This window comes from Homo sapiens, chromosome 8 (genome assembly GCF_000001405.40).
Source record: "Homo sapiens chromosome 8, GRCh38.p14 Primary Assembly".
In the NCBI taxonomy this organism is placed as follows: Eukaryota; Metazoa; Chordata; class Mammalia; order Primates; family Hominidae; genus Homo; species Homo sapiens.
Window position 1 is genome coordinate 91050904 of NC_000008.11, and position 19396 is coordinate 91070299.

Below are 19396 nucleotides of genomic sequence, written 5' to 3' on the forward strand. Positions count from 1 at the left end.
TTCACTCGCTCGCTGTCTGCACAAGCATGCATCATGGAAAGGCCACCAGCAACTTGGGAAGAAAACTGTCACCAAAAACCAAACCCTGCTGGACATAGATCTTGGGCTTGGAGCCTCCAGAACTGTGGGAAAATTAATTTCTGATCTTTAAACTATGCAGTCTGTGGTATTATTTTGTAGCAGCCCTAGCTGACCAATGACCAATGTAATCTGCAAATAATAAGATTACTTTAAAAAAAATCCATTTAGCCCTTGGACACACACACACACACACACACACACACACACACACTTACTTCACAGAGAAATCTATTTGAGACCATAGAATTAGTTGATACATGTAAAAGTAACTTTAGGATGAGAAACTTCCCTTTCCGATGGTTTCAGAAACCAATTGGGTAAGAAACGTAACTATTATCTGTTTGGAAATTGGTATTTCCAGCACTTCCTCCAGTGAGATACAGAATCACATTCTCATTTATTTTATGCTTTTGATTCCATCTTGTCTGACTGTATGGCCTTTAAGTCAACCATCCCAGTTTATTTAACCAGTCTCCTATTTTTCAATGTTTCAGAATTTTTATAATATTTTACTATTCATTCATTTGGCAAATGTTTACTGAGCACCTTCTAGGTGCCTGGCACTATTTTAAGGGACACAAAATTCCTGACATCACAACACAGGAAGATAAGCAAAATTCAATTTACCAAGGATGTATATCAGATGGAGATAAATATTATTGAAGGAAATAGGAAAGGTGGGTGGAGGGAGCACATTGCTTTTTACATGGAGGGAATAGGATCAGCTTCACAGACAGTGAAGCAGAAATGTGGACGGTCAACAGCAAAGCCCTGAAGAGGAAGCATGCTTGGTTCGTGTAGGAACAGCAATGAAGTCTGTGTAGCCCGATGAAAGGGAGCAAGGAGAGAAGGGGTAGAAAGTAGATATTAGACCAGAGAAGTTTGTCATGGACTGCGATGGGGTAGATCACATGGGGCCAGTTGGGCTTTTCCTCTGAGATGAGAAAACTATAGAGCTCTTAAAGGCTTTTGAAGAGTGACCTTATTTGACATAAGTTTTAAAAGGATTACAATGACTACTATGTGAAAATCGGATTATAGGTAACAAAGGAGTGGAGGTTGAAAGAGGGATCAGATTCTGGACATATTATGAAGCTAGATCTAACATGATTTGCTCATCGATGTGATGTAGAATATGAAAGACAGAAATCTTTGAATACTTTTCTGATTATTTATTCTTGATAATTTTTTTGAATTGGAAGCCTAGATCAAAGACTATACCCATTTAAAAGTCTTTCAGATATATACTGTCAAATTGTCCTCTGAAACCTGAAAAAACATTTTTACACATTTTTTTTTGAAACAGCGTCTGAGACTATTTCTCAGCAGCATAGGAAAATAACATGGTATTATCATTATTTTTAATATTGACAGTTTAATAGGGAAATATGTTTTTGTATCTTAGTTTTATCCTTAATGATTCTGAATATTTAATATTTTTATTGGTCAATGGTATTGGCCATTTTTTTTCCACTAGGGAGTTCATCTATTTATCATTTAATATTTTTAATTATAATTCTTATTTAAAATTTTACTTACTTATTTATAAAATCCATTCTCTTTTCCTCCTGGAAACCCAGATAAGCTACATTTCTCAGCCATTCTTGCACTTAGGGGTAGTCATATGTCCAAATTCTGGGTAGTGGAACATCAGTGGAAGTGATGTAGACTACTTGTAGACCATGTAGGCCATGAAAACCTTCCTTGTATGATCCTCCACACTCTTTTCTACTCAAAGCTAAGTGGAAAGAAAGAACCCCAAAGGAGCCCACAGGAGTCACATGGTGAAAATGGCACAAGAAGGGAGGATCTTGGCAAACTAAATCACTACTTATAGGAGAGTTGCCCACTAAGAACACCGGTTTTGAAGTGTTGTAAGAAATATACTTTATTGTGTTAAGTCACTGAGATTTCAGGGTTTATCAATTACAGCAGCAGGTGTATTTCCTAACTATTAAAGAAATATATAGAAAGAATTGTAAGAATTTCTTTACCTTCATTAATTAAATATGTGGACCTTTTGCTCCATGGAGAAATGTAAAACTTTCTTCTTTGACTGGACACTGATCTATGTTTCCTGGTACTGAGAGACTGACCCACTCCTTTTACTTCCTTCTTTAAGCGAACAGTTCCAAGAACAGAAGGTAATGGAGTCAAACAGGTCAAATCACTCTGACTCTCACTCTCATGTTCTCTCTCACAGATACCTCTTGTCTAAAGGATTGCAATACCTTCTGACCAAAGCAGACAAACTGGCAACATTGTTAATTTGTCATAGAAAGCCTCTTTGTTTCCTGTTTTCCAGAAAATACTCTCTTTGGATATTCTCCCTGCTGCAACACCCTGTATGAAGTGCCCAACACCTGCAGTCTCAGACAACTTTTGAAAGTTATAAACCTGTAATAAATAAGGCGAATATTTTTTCCTAGTTTGTAGTTTCTCTTTCAATGTTTGCTGTGTTTAAAACATTCTTACTGTCTATGTGGTGTCTCTGTATATAATCTTTCTTTAGATTCTCTGTGATTTACAGCCCATGAAATGTCAAACTGTCTTCTTTTCTGATAGAATTCCTGTCCTCATTCTTTCTTGCTTCATGTTAAGCCCAGAGTACATGATACTCTTAAATTAAATGGCATTCAGATGTGTGCCATTCTACTCATTGTTCTTTCACCTTTAGTGAAAGTGTGGGTAGAGTGTTGTTTCCCACTTGGTTCCTCTCACACCTATTGAACATTCACGCTGAAGGCCGCTCTCCCTCTTTGGTCATCTGACACTTGATATGCCTCATGTCACTCAGTCTTTCTGAGGGATACCGCCTTGTTTGCCTGGACAGTTTGTTACCAGCCTCACTTGTCACATATTCTCACTGATCTCACCGATCACCCTAGCCACATTAGTCAACACTAACTAGTCAGACTAGCTAAACTGATCCTACTCAGCTGTCTCTAACAGTGGCCTGCATAATGGGTGGGGATTTTAATTTACCAATTACATATATATATATATATATATATGTATTATATACATTAGGAAGATGTAGTAGTTGCCGATGGCTGCCATAACGACTTACCCACAAACTTAGTGTCTTAAAACAATGCAAATTTGTCTTATAATTCTGAAGGTCAGAAGTCCAAAATGGTTAACCTTGGTCACTGGGTTAAAATCAAGCAGTCAGGAATTCTGCATTCCTTTGTGGGATATCTAGTGGGGAATCCATTTTCTTACTTTTTCTGGCCTCAAGAGACCATTAGCATTCCTTACCTCCTGGCTGACTCCCTCCTCCATCTTCAAAGCCAACAATGAAGCATCTTCAAATCTCTGACTCTGACTCTCTTGCTTTCTCATTTCACTTATAAGGACCCTTGTGATTATTTACATGGATAATCCAAGAAAACCTTTTCATCTCAGTATCTTTAACTTAATCTCATCTGCAAAGTCCCTTTTGCCACATGCTGTGGTTTGAATGTGTCCCCCAAAATTCATATGCTAAAATTTAATCACCAATGTGATGGTATTTCAGAGGTGACTCAGTCATGGGGGCAGAGTCCTCATGAATGGGATTAGGGCCCTTATAAAAGGGTTAGAGAGAGTGGGTTCATCCCTTTTTTGCCCTTTGGTTCCATCTGCCACATAAGGACATAGCATCCATTCCCTTCAGAGGATGCTGTAACAGGGCGCTATCTTGCAAGCAGAGAATGACCCTCACTGGGCACCGATTTGGCTGGCACCTTGATCTTGGACTTTACAGCATCCAAAACTGTGAGAAATAAATTTGTTTGTAAATAACACGGTCACAAATATTTTGTTATAGCAGCACAAATGAACTAAGACACTATGTAAGGTAGCATATTCACAGGTTCTGGGGTTTAGAATGTGGACATCTTTGGTAGGCCTTTATTCTACTTACCACAGAAGGATATATCGACACAATAACACAAAGGCAAGCCCCTTCCATGGTTTTTCTATGACTCTTAAATTTAGTCTAGTCATGAACTATTCAGTGCATATATTTTCTCAGAGAAAAATCTCAACTCTTCTTAATTTTTTGCTTAGTTAATATGAGTTGGTTAATATAAAGCTTTAAAATTTTAGAAGAAAGTAAAATATAGGCCAGGCATGAGGGCTCATGCCTGTAATCCCAGTACTTTGGGAGGCCAAGGTGGGAGGACCACTTGAGGCCAGAGGTTTGAGACCAGCCCAGACAACATAGAAGACAAAAAACTTAAAAGATTAAGCCAAGCGCAATGGCTCACGCCAGTAATCCCAGCACCTTGGAAGGCCGGGGTGGGCGGCACACATGTGTCCATGTGTTCTTATTGTTCAATTCCCACCTATGAGTGAGAACATGCGTACACCTACTAGGTCTTAAGCCTTGATTGTTCAGTCCTATCATGTGCACCAGGGAGAGGAAGAGAGCTAGTGTAAAAGCTGGACTCAGAGAAGAGCTGACCTTTCATATAGAAATGGGAACCTATTGGATGACAAAAGTAAAATGTAAGGGACATAGGGGATGGGGGGTAGAAGATAAGAAAGAAGAGAAATAAGAAAGTGAGGGAGAACAATATAATTAGATATTCATACCAGGGAAACAAAGGCATGACTAGAAAGGCAGAGGAAGGGTGAGCCAGAAATGAAATGTCGTATGTATGTGCATACAATTTATAATGCAAAAGATGCTTTGTATATAGATTCTCACTTCAGAGTAAACCTGTGTAATAAATAAGTGGGACAGATAATACTATTGAGCCATATATATCCAACCCTCAATTTCTTATCTCATGAAACATCTCCACAGGTTTATACCCAATTATACCACAATTGAGACTGGTTTTGCTAGAGGTATCCTAGGAAATAATAATTGGTTTGAAAGGGAAAGGTGGGGTATCAAAAGTAAGCAGAATACGTAGAATTTATTTAAGTATAGGGCAGGCTGTTACAGGGGTTGGTTAGCACTGTCCAAATGGTCAGGAAAAACTGTAGTGTGTTCCAGATCAAATCCGTACCCAAGGGCACCTAATCTAGCTGTGGAGGTACAGTGGCAAGGTTATCTAGGAAGAACTGAAATTCAAATCAGAAGAGCACTGAACCAGCTGATGAAGAATTAGAAGCCAATAATTAGAGGCCCAGGTCTAACCTGTGGAGAAAGGGTTAGCTTGGGCTCCACAGGTTGTTGGGTATTAGTGAAGTAGGTTTAAATTCAAGGAAGAGCATAAGAGTTAGCAGCAGAAATCAGAGCTGGGGGTGGGTGTGGCAGACACCCAGGCACATGTAGACTGGGAAAATATGGGGGAAAGCTGTGGCTTGGAGGACACAAGTTGATAAGCTCAGAATTCCTAAGCAGAGGCCAGATGATATCCTGACCATGGCCCTGGTGGATACGTTTTTTGTTTTGTTTTGTTTTGTTTTTTTAAAAAATGTATTTTGTCTTACTTATTTTTTTACACAGGTTTACAGGTTAGCCCTGGTCAAAAATGGGAGAGATGCAAAGCTGAGCCAATTGGGGAAGCCAAGGATTTTCATACTTTATTTATATCTCAAGTGAAAAAGTTTCTGACAATAAATTGGGTTATCTTTGATATTAACACTAGCTAACACATTTTAATGAGGGCTTACTACATTTTGTGAATCATCCCAATTTATCCTCAAAGCAATCCTTGAAACAGACACTACTAGTATATACATTTTACTGAGATAGACACTGAAACACTCATTATGTTACTAGCCTTAAGTATTGAAATTGGAAACCCAATCCAAAACATCTGGTCCCAAATCCTTTCTTTTAAAACATGTCTGCCTCTCATATAGAGATTGCTTATGTTGAGAAGTATGAAGCCATACACAGATGGTGGTAGCTATGATAATCCTTTAATAATTAGTTTTTAGTCAGAGTCTGCAAAAATGTATCTTGTTCAATTCTATTAGGATGCTCTCCTCTTGAATTTGAAAATTAGGCTGTTCACTTTTATCATTTCCTCAATTCTACACTATTCCTCTTCCTCCTTATCTTTCCACCAAGGCTATTTGCAGCTGGTCATTTATCTTAGCTGCCTTCCATGTCTTTGTTCTATTCTCCCAAAGGTTTTTACCTATTATTTGAATTATTTATTCCAATCCCTTCATATGAGCCATTAACATAATGAGATTCTTATCTTCACTGAAGACACAACTTTAAAAAAACCTCATAATTAAATTGGAGTAGATATAATACAATTAATATTTTTTTCCTTTCTAGGGTAAATTATACATATGTTGTATTTTGGTAGTCTGCATTATAATCTCTATTTTTATACAATAAAGAATTTTACTTTTGGTTTTAAAATTTGAAAAGGAAAATAGTCACTGTTCTAATAATTTCATGCACTACTATAATAGTTGTCAAGAGTAAACATAAAAATTTTAGTTACTGTTGCCTTACAATAACCTTTTAACTTGATAGTAATGTTTCACATTTTCCTTTGCTATGGTCTCTGATCAAATACTTGTAAATTTTCTGATGCAGTTTTTCTAGTCAAAACTATCTCTTTTTTTTTGTCAAAACTATCTTTTAAAGATTTTTTAGGAATATAGAATTTCTGTCAGAAATCGATGTTTGGGGAATCACTTTGATTAGCCCACTAATGATGGGCTGATAACCTTGCCACTGTACCTCCACAGCTAGATTAGGTGCCCTTGGGTACGGATTTGATCTAGAACACAGTACAGTTTTTCCTGACCATTTGGACAGTGCTAACTAACCCCTGTAACAGCCTGCCCTATACTTTCTGGGCACTGATATTAGAAGGTGGGGAAACAGAAGTCAGAAAATTATTCATCATGAGTAAAGGAAAAATACATTTTTTTTCCTCTGACAAGGAGATAAGACTGAGAAAGAAAGAAACAAGAATTGAAGAGAGAGCAACCAAAAAGAAAGAAAAAAAGCAGCTAGAAAGACCAGTAATTTGTGTGAAGCAGCAGTAACAAGATAGAAAATAGAATAGAAAAACATCCCTTTCATTATCCACAAAGCAAAAACTACACAAAAATTAACATAATAAAACAGTGTACTAGCTAAGACTCTCCTAACAAAATATTCAAACTATAAAAGAACATTTAAAAGGGCCAGAACAACTGCATAGATGAGGAAGTAAGTTTAAGGATGATAAGAAGGTTGGAAGAAGTTGGAGTTCTGATGAGGGTATGACCATAAAGAGGCAGTACAAGGGAGTTTCTTCAAGGTGATGGAACATTTTTGTGCCCTGATTTTGGGGTGGTTACACAAATCTATACATGCAGTAAAATTGTACAGAACACACAAAAAGAATGCTTGTAAAACTGGTGAAATCCAAATAGTCTATGGCTAATAGTATTGCATCAGGGGCAGTTTCCTCTGTGTGCGTGTGTGTGCGCATGCGCGCATGCACACGTGTTTTAATTTTCAATTCAGGGGGTACATGTGCAGGTTTGTTAGATGAGTATATTGTGTAATGCTGAGGTTTGGGTTTCTAGTGAACCCATCACTCAAATAGTGAACATAGTACTCAATAGACAGTCTCTTATCCCTTGCTCCCTTCTTCTCCCCTTTTTGGAGTCCCCAAAAAGGGTCAATTGTTTCCATCTTTATATCCAAGCATACCTATTGTTAAGCTCACATTTGTAAGTGAGAACATGGGTATTTAATTTTCTGTTTCTATATTAATTCACTCAGGATAATGGCTTTCAGCTGCATCCATGTTGTTGCAAAGGACATAATTTTATTTTATTTTTTTTTACGGCAGCATAGCTGGTTGAAGAGTATAAAGGAACTCTATTTTTTTGGCAACTTCTAAGTGAGCCTAAAATAAATCAAAACATAAAGTTTTCCAAAAAAGGCACATGCTAAATGACTCATGTATCAACGAAGAAATCAAAAGAGAAATTAGTACTTTGAATTGGAAAAAAAAACACAACAAACCAAAATTTGTGGAATGCTCTAAAGCAATCCTCAAATAAAAAATTATCCCATGAAACTGTCTGTATTAGAAAGAAAAAAAATTTCAAGTCAACAGCCTCAGCTTCCACTTTAAAAAACTAGGCACAAAGGAGCAAATAAAACCTAAATTTAGCAAAGGAAAGGAAATAATAAATCTGAGAGAACTGATGTGTTCAGAGGGAGCATGGCTTTGACATCTTAACTTCAAACTTTAGCCTTCAGAATTATAAAATAATACATTTCTATTGTTTTAAGCCACCCATATTTTGATACTTTGTTACTGCAGGCCAAGGAAACTAACACAGCTTGTAAGGATCACGCAGCTGCTGTTTGTATTATGATATTTATATTAAGTGGATTTATTAACAGTGGTCACATTTGAGGACTGGAGTTAGAGAAAGGAATTCTTAAATTCACATACATATTTTATTTAAAAGTAATGTTATTTTAAGAATATTTAAGTAAATTATATATGGTAAAATAGCTTCATGTTGTATTTTAAGGATAACTTAAATACTAAAAAATTAAAGTAACTTCTATACAAGGATAAAAGAGTGTACCTGTCTGTAGAATAAGTAAATAAGAGCTGTACTAACTAGTCAAATGAGTATAACTAAGATTTTAACACTGTTAAAAATGACATATCTTTTCCCAATTTCTATTCGATAATTTATAACTTTTGCTGAAAAAGTAAATCAAATATTTTAATTTGTAGCTTGTGATTAGATAATACATTTAATTTTTCTTTAAAAAAACTAAGGAAGTAAAGGTGGAAATCTTTGATGTGTTTTTGTTTTCCCTTTCCCAGTGCTTTCCATTCTTAATTCTACTCACCATGTTACTCAAAACAGGCACCACTAATTACCCAATTTCAGTATAATCAAAATGCTAGAAGGAAATAAAGTACCTTAATGACATGTCTTAAGCCTTCCAAACCTTGATAGCGTAAACCAAAAAGCATCCGAGACAGGACTCAATCAATTTAGAATTTTATTTTGCCAAGCTTAAGGATATGCCCGGAAGAAAGAAACACAAATCCACAGGAACAATCTATGGTTCATACCTTTTTAGAAAGATGATTTTGAGGGCTTCAGTATTTAAAGGGGGAAAGCAGGCTGGAGGGGAAAGAGAGAGGATATGGTCCCATTGCTGACTCCATGTGTTGCAAGAGAAAAGGAGCAGGCTGGGGAATAGTCAATTAGGTAATCCTCTTACGCTCAATAAATTGGCACTTTACATAAGGTGAACATAGAGTACCTACCTATGGAGATATCTGACCTTTTATCTGTAGCTATTAGCTTAGGAACAAAAGCGAGCAGTTTCTTGCATGACTCAGCGTTCAGCTTACTTTCTTCCTTTTGGCTTTGTGAATTGGGGTACCGAGATTTTGTTTTTTTTTCCACAATGGGAGAATCATAATGACAAATTTATAAATATAATATATAATTTTTCTTACCCTTTGTGAAATTCTTCATTTAAATTCCTAAAATTTTATGAGATTAAAATACATTTAGTAACAATCAACTTTTTTAATACAAAGATTCTAGAAAAGCTTAAGGTACATTATTAGCTATGGTCATTCATTCTGTCTTGAAGTTTAATAGAAATGCTTTTTTCAGCACCGAACTGTGATCTTCAGGACCATCCTTCCCTCCTTTCCTCTCTCCCTCTCTTCCTTCCTTTTCTCTTGTTCATTCTTTCATTCTTCCTCTTTTTTTGAGGGGTTGGAGTAGAAGGGTAGGCATATACAATTGTGAGGTCTGGAATCTACTTCATATAAGGACAAGGAGCAACTCTGGATAAAAAGAGAGTAATATACATGCTTTATTTGCCTGCAACTTGTGGGAAAGAGCATCAGAAGGCAGGAGAGGCACTTGGAAGGGGAAGTGAGAGAACATTGAAGATAAATCCCACTTCTTCTGTGGTTTTTTACTAGGGTGGATACTCATGTACTGACAAGCAAGTATCATCTTTAGCAGACTCTACCTGAGATAATGATCTGCTTTTATTTGTCACTGATTTTACTTTCCACAGGGTATCAGGATGAGGAACCTTCAAATCATGCATCACATTGAATCTCTTGGTGGCAAAGGTAGCATGGAGGTGGCACATAGCATCTGTGGTACAGGTAGGAGATTGCTAACCCTTGTTCAAGATGACATTGATAGGCAAATAGCCAGGAATATGCTTTTCTCTTGGAAGTGCCTACTCCACTTACTCTGAAAGGCTGACTCCTCACGATTCAGATCTCTGCCTACATGTTACCTTCTCAGGTAGATCATCTCTGAACAGATTCCCACCCCCATCCCATATACCTTATTATTCTGTTACAGTACTCTATTGGTTTCCTACATAGTACTTAATATAATTTGTGCTTGTCCATTTTTTTGTTTACTTACATATTGACTAATACATTTATTTACTTGTTTGTTACAAGTAAATAATGTCTTTATAAGAGGAATATGCCTTTTTAGCTCTCCAACATTTGCCCAGTGTTTATCGCAGTACCTGGAGCATAGCAGTTTCTCAATAAATATCAGTGGAAAGGAGTAATTTAAAATTTAAATTTAAAAAATCCAAACATGAGGCTGTAATTCTTATTGTGATTCTCAAAGATCCTGATTACTTGGTCGGGATTTTGATGGAGAAGCAGGAAGAGAGACAACATGTATTTCTGCCTCCAGATTAAGTAAATATTGTAGAAGAAGGAAAATAATTATTTCATTTATTAATCCTAGCGTGCATATTTGATATCTCTTAATATTAAAATAGTTCCTGCTATCTCTTGTATTTGTAATACTCCTCATGTTTATCTATTGCAAGTATATATTAGCACTTATGGTATTTCAAGAAATAGGTAGTACCGGAGATCCAATGAGATGCAAGACAACCTGCCTCCTTCCTAAAACTGAAAAGATGTTAGTAAACACTGACTTGGAGTTTTTTCATAATGGCATCTTAAATTGTATTTTTTTATACATGCTTTTTTTGGCATACTTAGATAAAAAGACTATTCTTCACTTCCATAAAGAATTATGCTTTCTCTTATTTTTTTTGAAATCTGTGTCTTTTTGGCTTGTGTTTTCTTACCTTTGGTAGAAACATGGATATCAAAACAGTTTACCTTTAATTTCACTATAAAAAATAACAACTGTTCAAATGCATGTAAGCAGCAACTGACATTTGGCCTCAGTGATGAGGCAACAACAGAGAACAGCAGAACTTGGGAACCTGCAGAAGACATGCACCAAATAAAGGGCACACTACCCCTGCTACTCTATAATTTCAATGTTTGTCAGAGCTCACATTTGCAAGAGAACTAGAAGTCTAGATTTCTTTTAACATGAAATGATCTGATTTTTAAAATGTTTGGGGGCTAAATTAAAAAACCAACAAAGCATATGTGGCAACACTGTAGTAACAGGTCAACAAATATTATGTTAGACCAGATTTAGCCCTCAAGATGGCTGTTTCCTCCATCCTACGGGGTACTTTTCATTTTCAGCAGAGAGAAACTTTGACCACTAACACTTGGGAATATTTAAGGGGAATAATGACTGTCTTGCCAGTTCCTTTCATAGACCATAACAGGTACTTAATAAATAGTAGTTGAGTGGACACACTGAATGCATAAGTCATTCACACGTTGTTACTGTGGTTCAAGAATTAGAACAATTTAGTGTATATGAAGAGAGAAAATTGGACAATAAAAATTATTTACATATTTTGTAACCATAACAGTTAACAACTTCAAGCACTTTCTCTGTGCTAGGTACCATGCAAACACTTTATAAGGATCACTCCACCAATTCCTTATAATGATTCTATGTAGTAAGACTATAGCTGTCCTTTAACTTATCCAGAGCTGGTAAGCTGCAGAGTTAATAAGAAAGATATAAAATAATTCTGACACCAAGGCCCATGTCTTAATTGTTATTATTTTATGTAAATTTGTATTGAGGAATAACAAGCCCACAATAAAGACCTAAGAAACAGGCAGTGTTTTGTTTTGAAAGATGACTGTGGTTTTCAAGTAGGTAATATAAAAGGACAGAAAATGGAAAATGAGAAATTTTGAAAACCATGGGACCTATGGAGAAATTGTAGGTTCAGAAAGAAAACACAAGGACCCAGAATAAGATGAAGGACTTGCCCTAGGGAAAATCAATGAAAAGCTGAGTGCTCAGAATCAGGAAAAATGCTGTGTAGGGTAGTTATTTTCAATCCTGGCTGCATATTAGAGTCATTTTCGGGAGCTTTTTAAAAAGCATCTATGTGCTTGGTCCCAGCAGCAGAGTTTTTTTGAGGGGAGAGAGACCAGGACATCAGTATTAAAAATAAGACTAACCAATACAAACACTTCAGATGATTCTTAAGTGCAGTCAGATTAAAATTTCTGCTTTAAATTACCCAGTAACATACAAACTGAACTCCTAAGGCTCTACAAAGTTGCCTCAAATTCTCCGAAGAGTGGGCAGGATTACATGCTACTCATTCCCTTCAATCTCATTGGTTCATTTTTATCTGTTTCATATACCAGACTTCTGTATAAGATTTCACTTGAAAAAATAGTTCTGCATTAAAAATAATTCAAAACAGGTTTTTAATTTTCCCATTTCTCTCGGTTTATAATAGGTAATTGACATAAAGGGGCAAATACAGTGACTTCCACAAAACATGTTGACCTCAAGAACACATTACGGTAGCTTCGATCAGAGACCAGGTAGATACGTATGAGGTTGATGGCACTGGAAACTAGAATGCTGCTTCAGTGCTACCCACGTTCTCCATAAGTGTCCTAATCAGTAGTGGCCCTGAGATAACAGAAAAGAGAATATGAAAAATGTATTATTTATCTTTCCAATCTTTGAAACTTCTTTCAACTCTGTAAAGTTGCAGTGGATACTGAGTACCAACTTGCCATTAAGTTTCACACATAGGATTCTTTCCTGATGCCATGTAAGTTTTCAGAGAAAAGTAAAAGAAAAAAATATATCATGAAAGAAGAAGAAAAATAACTTAGCAAAAAGAATTTGGAAATGGGAAAATAGAAAACAAAACAGAGATTTTAAAATATTGCAACTGAAAATATTTGAAGAAAGTGTAATACAATATAAATTAAGAGACAGGCTAGAAAATTGAAAGGCCAAAAGATAAAGTTCTATAAAATAGTTCCTTTCATTTACTGATATCCAGTTAGTGCAGAGGTTGCCATTGGGTAAAACATCATCACAGAGACAAGATTTGTCTTCTAATTACCATGAGCTGGTTTGATGCTACAGTTGAAAAATATTGAGCATAAATTATAGGACAATACTTCCATAATTGTATAATTTTAAGGCTGAAGGTGACTTTAAGTGTTCTTTTATCTGCCTTTATTATCCCTAAGTAGTCATCTAGTTCATGCTTGATTAAAATGTTTATTAAATGGCTTCTATGGGCTAAGCATAATACTAAGTAATGAGGACCCAAAGGCAAACGAGACAGACCTAGTTATTCTATGTTTCATTATATTCAAGTTCATGAAACAGATAGAAGGCAAGTAAAAGTATTAAAAGGGGGAATAAATAGGGTGCTTTCAATAGAGAACGAATGGTTAAGAACTGTGAATAATTCTAGACAGGGCGGTCAAGGGGTGACGGTGGATAAATATTTCCAGTGGTAAGAAAGCTCTATTTCCAGAAGCACTGCATTCCTCGAGGAAAAGAAAGTATGGAAGTTCAAGGCACTGAAGTCCAGAAAGGCTCAAATAGATTATATCAGGTGTGGTGTGCGATGAGACTGGAATGGGCCTTGAGAAGCATATTAAGAAGTATACATTTTATTGAGAACCCACTTAAGTTGAAACTCCTAAGTTGACTTGAATTTTATAAAGTTCTTATTGTGTTATAAAGAATAAACTGGAGAGAAGCACGTTTTCATAATACAGGTGAGAAATGATTCGGGCTTGGACTTAGAGTGGTGCTAGTGGAACTAAAGGTGAGTGGATTGATTTGAAACATATTTAGAAACTAAGACTTAATTATTTGTTGATATTAAAGGGTAAGGGAAAAAAAGTAGTCAAGAATTACACTAAGGTTCCCAACATGAGCAAGCAAAAGGTCAGTAGTGCCACTTATTGGCTGATTGGTTGTAGTTTATTACATGTTAATTATATCTCAGTAAAACTGTTTTTAGAAAGCCAAAAGGAGATTCTGTCAGACAGTAATAAGTGACAGTGATAGAGCAGGCAAAGTGATTGACAGTTCCTTGCAATAGATGATATGAATGTGGTGGATACCATTATGTAGGTTGTTACTACATAAGGCATCTCTGATGAAGTGAAACATAAATTTTGACCTTAATAACAAAAAGTCAGTTTTACAAAATTTCAGGAATGTTTTTCCCAAGTCAAGGAAGCACCTAGGCAAAACTTTGGTGACAGGAGGAAATCTGATTTTTGTAAACACAGAAAAAAATAAATATGGCTAAAGCTCTAGGACTCGGAGTAAATGGGATCAGAGATGAATCCAGAATATACGGGGCTGTCTGGGGTGTAGAGTGGTGTCATGTACTAAGATTTCAAAAAGAATCCTGGAAACACATAAATTTTAGTTTAAAAGAACAAAAGACTAAACAAACCAAAAACCCAGAGAACCAACTTAATTGTGTGAGCCAATTCCCATAATAAATATCCTCTTACATATCTATTATATTCCTTTAGTTCTGTTTATCCGGAGAATCTTAATACACACTAGAACTTGAGAGAAAGGTCCAGTTGGCACATAGATGTGGTAATTGAAGAATGGGATGAAGTTGGCAGAAAGTATGTAGAGTGAAAATGAGCCTGGGCCAGAGCCCTAGGGAACTCAGCAAATTTCAGGAAGAGATAGAAGAGTCAATAAGGAGCATCCAGAACCAAAGGAGATAAAAAGGAAGAGGGTGTATCATAGAAGCCAAGAGAGGAGACAGGCAACACCCAATTTAACAAGGACATCTCAGATGGCGTTGACTGCTATGGAGAGAAATCAAGCAGGTTAAACAGGAAACTAAGACAGCTGGGTGGGAAGAGCACATTGGGTTTTTGTAGAAGTGTGGACAGAAGGGAGAGTCAATCATGCCAATATTGCAGTAAATAGTGTCAAATATTGCTGAGAAGTTAAGCAAGATAAGGGCTAAAAAGTGACAGCTATTTTGTGTGATGGGAAAATATGCAGCGGTTAAAAATGTTTTTGAAAAATAATTGACTTGGCAAAATGTCTATAACTGCAAGTGAATGAAGCAGAAATTTATATATAGTATTATTCTAAATTTGAATAGTAATTTAATTGACCAGAAGGAAATATACTGTTTTCAGGGTCTCTCTACATGGTGGGATCATAGGTGAAACAGTCTGGCTCTTTCTCCCCACCCAAATCTCATCTTCATTGTAATTCAAATTGTAATGCCCACGTGTTGGGGGAAGAACCTCGTGGGAGGTGATTAGACCATGGGGGTAGTTCCCCCATGCTGTTCTCATGATAGTGAGTGAGTTTTCATGAGATCTGATGGTTTTATAAGGGGCTTTTCCCCTCTTTGCTTTGCACTCTCTCTCCTGTCACCTTGTGACATAATTTTAAGTTTCCTGAGGCCTTCCCAGCCATGCAGAACTGTGTCAATTAAACCTCTTTTCCTTATAAATTACCCAGTCTTGGGTATTTCTTTATAGCAGCATGAGAATGTACTAATACAACAGGTAACATTTATCATCATCTATATACTTTTCAAAATTTCTGCGGAAATGTTTAATTTATAAAAGCAAAATAGCTTTTTAATATATGTTAAAAAACATAAAGAAGTAAATAACTATCCAAAAAGCTGCCACACAGATATAAGTACTATTAATGTTTTGGCAACATCCAAATATTTTTTTCTACATATATTCTGGATAGCATTTACTGAGCATTCACAATGTATAATGCACTGTGCTGAGAAGTCTTGTAAATATGTAAGATTTTATAATCTAATACTATGCTGCTATTGACCTGAGATACTGCATTTCTAACAAGTTTCCAGGTAATGCCAATGCTGTTTTTCTGAAGGCCATACTTTTCAATAAAAGTGTTGTACATTAAAATATTGTTATATGGAGGTCTGTGAAGGGGAAACAGTGCAGGGAGGGGAAAGAAAAAAGGAGACTTGGGCTTTCCTTTCCTTGAGAATCAATTGTCAGATGCTCAGAATTCATTATGCTACATTAAAGCTCAATTGGGAGAAATAAGTAAATTGTGGTCTCATAACATATTGGGGATAAATCCACTATGAAGGCAGACTACTTCCTCATTTGAAAGGTAGCAAAATTGAAGAACTTTAGTTACTGAGTCCTTCCCATGCATATTCCATTCTTCACTTAGTGTTTTAATTCCTGTTTCTTGCCTTTTCTACATCCATCCCATAGCATGTAAAGTATAATTATCTTCATTGTTGTATTTCCTAAATCATCAGTATTTGTTATAATTTCCTCTTTGACCGAAAGATTATTTAAGAACATTAAAAAAATTCCAAGTGTGTGATTTTTCAGGGTTGAAAATTATTATTTTCTAGGGTTTTTTTTTTTTTGTAATGTGGTCACGAGTGCTTTCTAGAAATATGTTAAAGTTTTCTCTACATTTGAGTATAAAATCATTTAGAAATGCTTCAGGATAATTTGAAGAGAATGCAAAAATAAGGTAGAAAAGTAATATATATATTACACACATATTTTAACTATTTAACTACCTTTTATCTCTTAACTTCCCATTTACTTGATTTATCAAAAGCTGTAACTGCGCTGGGTTGGTGGCTCACATTTGTAATCTTAGTGCTTTGGGAGGCCGAGGCAGGAGGATTACTTGAGCCTAGGAGTTGGGAGACTGCAGTGAGCTATGATGTTGCCACTGCATTCCACCCTAGGCTACAAAGCAAGACCCTCTTGTCTCTAAAAAAAGAAATCATAAATGTTGAAGTCATAGTCCAACATATTTTTTTGCTATATTCTCTTTAATAATACATACAGAAGGATTACTCAATAAATTTTAAATACATAAAATGCAACAATTTAAATGTACATGTTTTTAAATAGATGTATATCGATGTACATAAGTAAAACTATCACCCACATCAAGATCTGGAACATATATTTTATATATTAATGTCATATTATTTACCATATAGTTTGTTAAATGTTACATCCTATATTGTATGTTTTACATAAAATGTCTTATGTTTAGATTTTAAGAAAAATGTTGCCATTTCTATGATTTATAGTTTCCATTATCTTTAAACTCTTTGATCATTTGTTTTATACAAATGTATCTCAGGTTAGAGATTGATTTTTGACCCAATTTCAATTGTAATAGGGCTATTTAACCAGTTTATAGGTCATCTGTACTGTCAATCTACTTTTTGCTAATTTTAGTGTCTTTTTGCTATTTTTCTTTTTACCACTTCTTTTCCAAACATTGGAATGTATATATTCTATTTTTGTAGTTAACACTTATTTCCATGTCAAATTTACTTGGAACTATATGATTTACTTGGAACTATATGATGCAGTAACTACTGTTTTTCCCCATGCATCATGTACAGAAAATGAGGATGTATCCACCCCCTCCCAAACCAGTGATTTGGAAGTTTCTTTACAGTATCAGTAGTAACATGGACAAACTTGTTATTTTTTTCCTGCTATACTTAAAAATAAGGGAAATAAAACTGTACTGTTTTCCAATTGTCAGATTTGACATTTAGAATGTTATTTGTCAAATCTACAGTGACAAAGCCCTTTTACTTAGGTTTAGCTTAAGAACATGCGTATTTGTATCTACAATACTACATGCTAAAAATAAAACAGTATTTGTCCAATATATTGAACATGTGGTATGCCCTTCCAGTTTAAACGTAAACTGAAATTTTACACCCAGCTTATGTTTCTATTTTTGTATTTAGTTTTAATGCCCTATACATAACAATTTAAACTTAATGCTCCTTAACTAGTTTTAATGCATACCATCAGTTCTTTCATACAATTGCCTCCCTATTCTTATTTTAATTCAGGTTCTCTGTTAGCTGCAGTAAATCCTTCAGCAAAATTTTCAGGGAAAGTTCTTGGTTGATATACTTTCCTAACCCCTGTATATCTAAGAATGTCTTCCAGTTTCCTTTGTAAAGAAATGATAACTTGGCAGAGTATATAATTCTTGGCTCAAAATTATTTTCCCTTAACACTCTAGATATTGTTCCACTGTCTTCTGGCATTTAGAATTGCAGGAGAAAAATCTGAGGTCAGCCTGACTTTTGCCCCTTTGTAAGTAACCTGCTTTCTCTGACTGGATGCTTGTAAAATGTTTCGTCTTTGAAATTCAAAAACGTCACCCGGATATGTCTAGATGCTGCTTTCTTTTCATTAAACTTTAAAGGTATCCTATGAGCCTTTTCCATTTGTAGATCTAGTTCGTTCTTCAATTCTGGAAAATTTTTTCAAGTAGATCCTTTATTGTTTCAGCTCCACTTGCTCTGTCCTCAGTTTCAGGTATTCCTATTATGCATAGATTGTATCTCCTGGACCGGCCCTCTAGATCTCTCTTTTTCTCCTCTTAATTTCTTTTCCCCTTTTCTCTGTATTCTGTGACAATTTGTCGTTTTGCACTTACTTCAGTAATTCGATTTTGTGGCCAATCCAGCGTGCGCCCTTCTGTTAACTCTCTCAACTTCCTGGTATTTTCCAAGCGCTCTAATAGTACCCTCTTTATCATCGCGCATAGGTGTTTAAGCTCCTGTATTATATGATTCTCAATCCTTCTTATATCTTGTTTCCATCTCTATATCCGTTTCAAGAGGAGGCATTTTCTCGATTATTTAGCGCTGCTCCTTTTTTCTCAGGGGCGGTATTACGACCTTGGAGACAATAAACATAATTTAATTCCACACAGCCCCAAACAGCCCAAAGATTCCCATTGATAATTATCGACGGCTTTATTAAAATGCGTTATTTTTCTTTCTTACCTTTTCAGTTGCTTTTCTTAGAAACAGGGACCAAAATCAAAGATTAAAGAGGTCCTCTGAAGCAGGGAATGAAATAGACGTTGAAAACTATTCCCGTTACGCCATCTCTGCGCGCCTCACGTCAGGGCCAAGAGCCTAGCGCGTAGCTTTATGGCTGACTCGGCTCTGGCGCTCTAGCCAATTCCGAGGCTGCAAACTCCGCTTCTCCGCTCGCAGTCTGGTTCCTCCCCTGCCGCCCCGCCCATCACGGCAGGGTCACGGTAGCGCGCACGCGCAGCACCCCATTTAAGTTTCTCGTCTTTGCAGTGGCTTTGCTTAGATCCGGTGCCGCCTTGAAGGCGGGGCTGGGTCCCAGCCGTAGCCAATGGA

General features: G+C 36.0%; 1 long non-coding RNA gene across 2 annotated transcripts; it reads right to left on the reverse strand.

The window, feature by feature from the left end:
- Positions 1-9002: 9002 nt before the first annotated feature.
- Positions 9003-19286, reverse strand: OTUD6B-AS1 (OTUD6B antisense RNA 1). 2 transcript variants are annotated; one of them, NR_110438.1, is made up of 3 exons: positions 19028-19286; positions 18676-18919; positions 9003-12843 (listed from the first exon to the last, which is right to left on the reverse strand). It is a non-coding gene; the product is annotated as an OTUD6B antisense RNA 1 (long non-coding RNA). The 2 variants fall into 2 exon arrangements; NR_110439.1 differs by lacking the exon at positions 9003-12843 and having other exon boundaries at positions 17008-18919.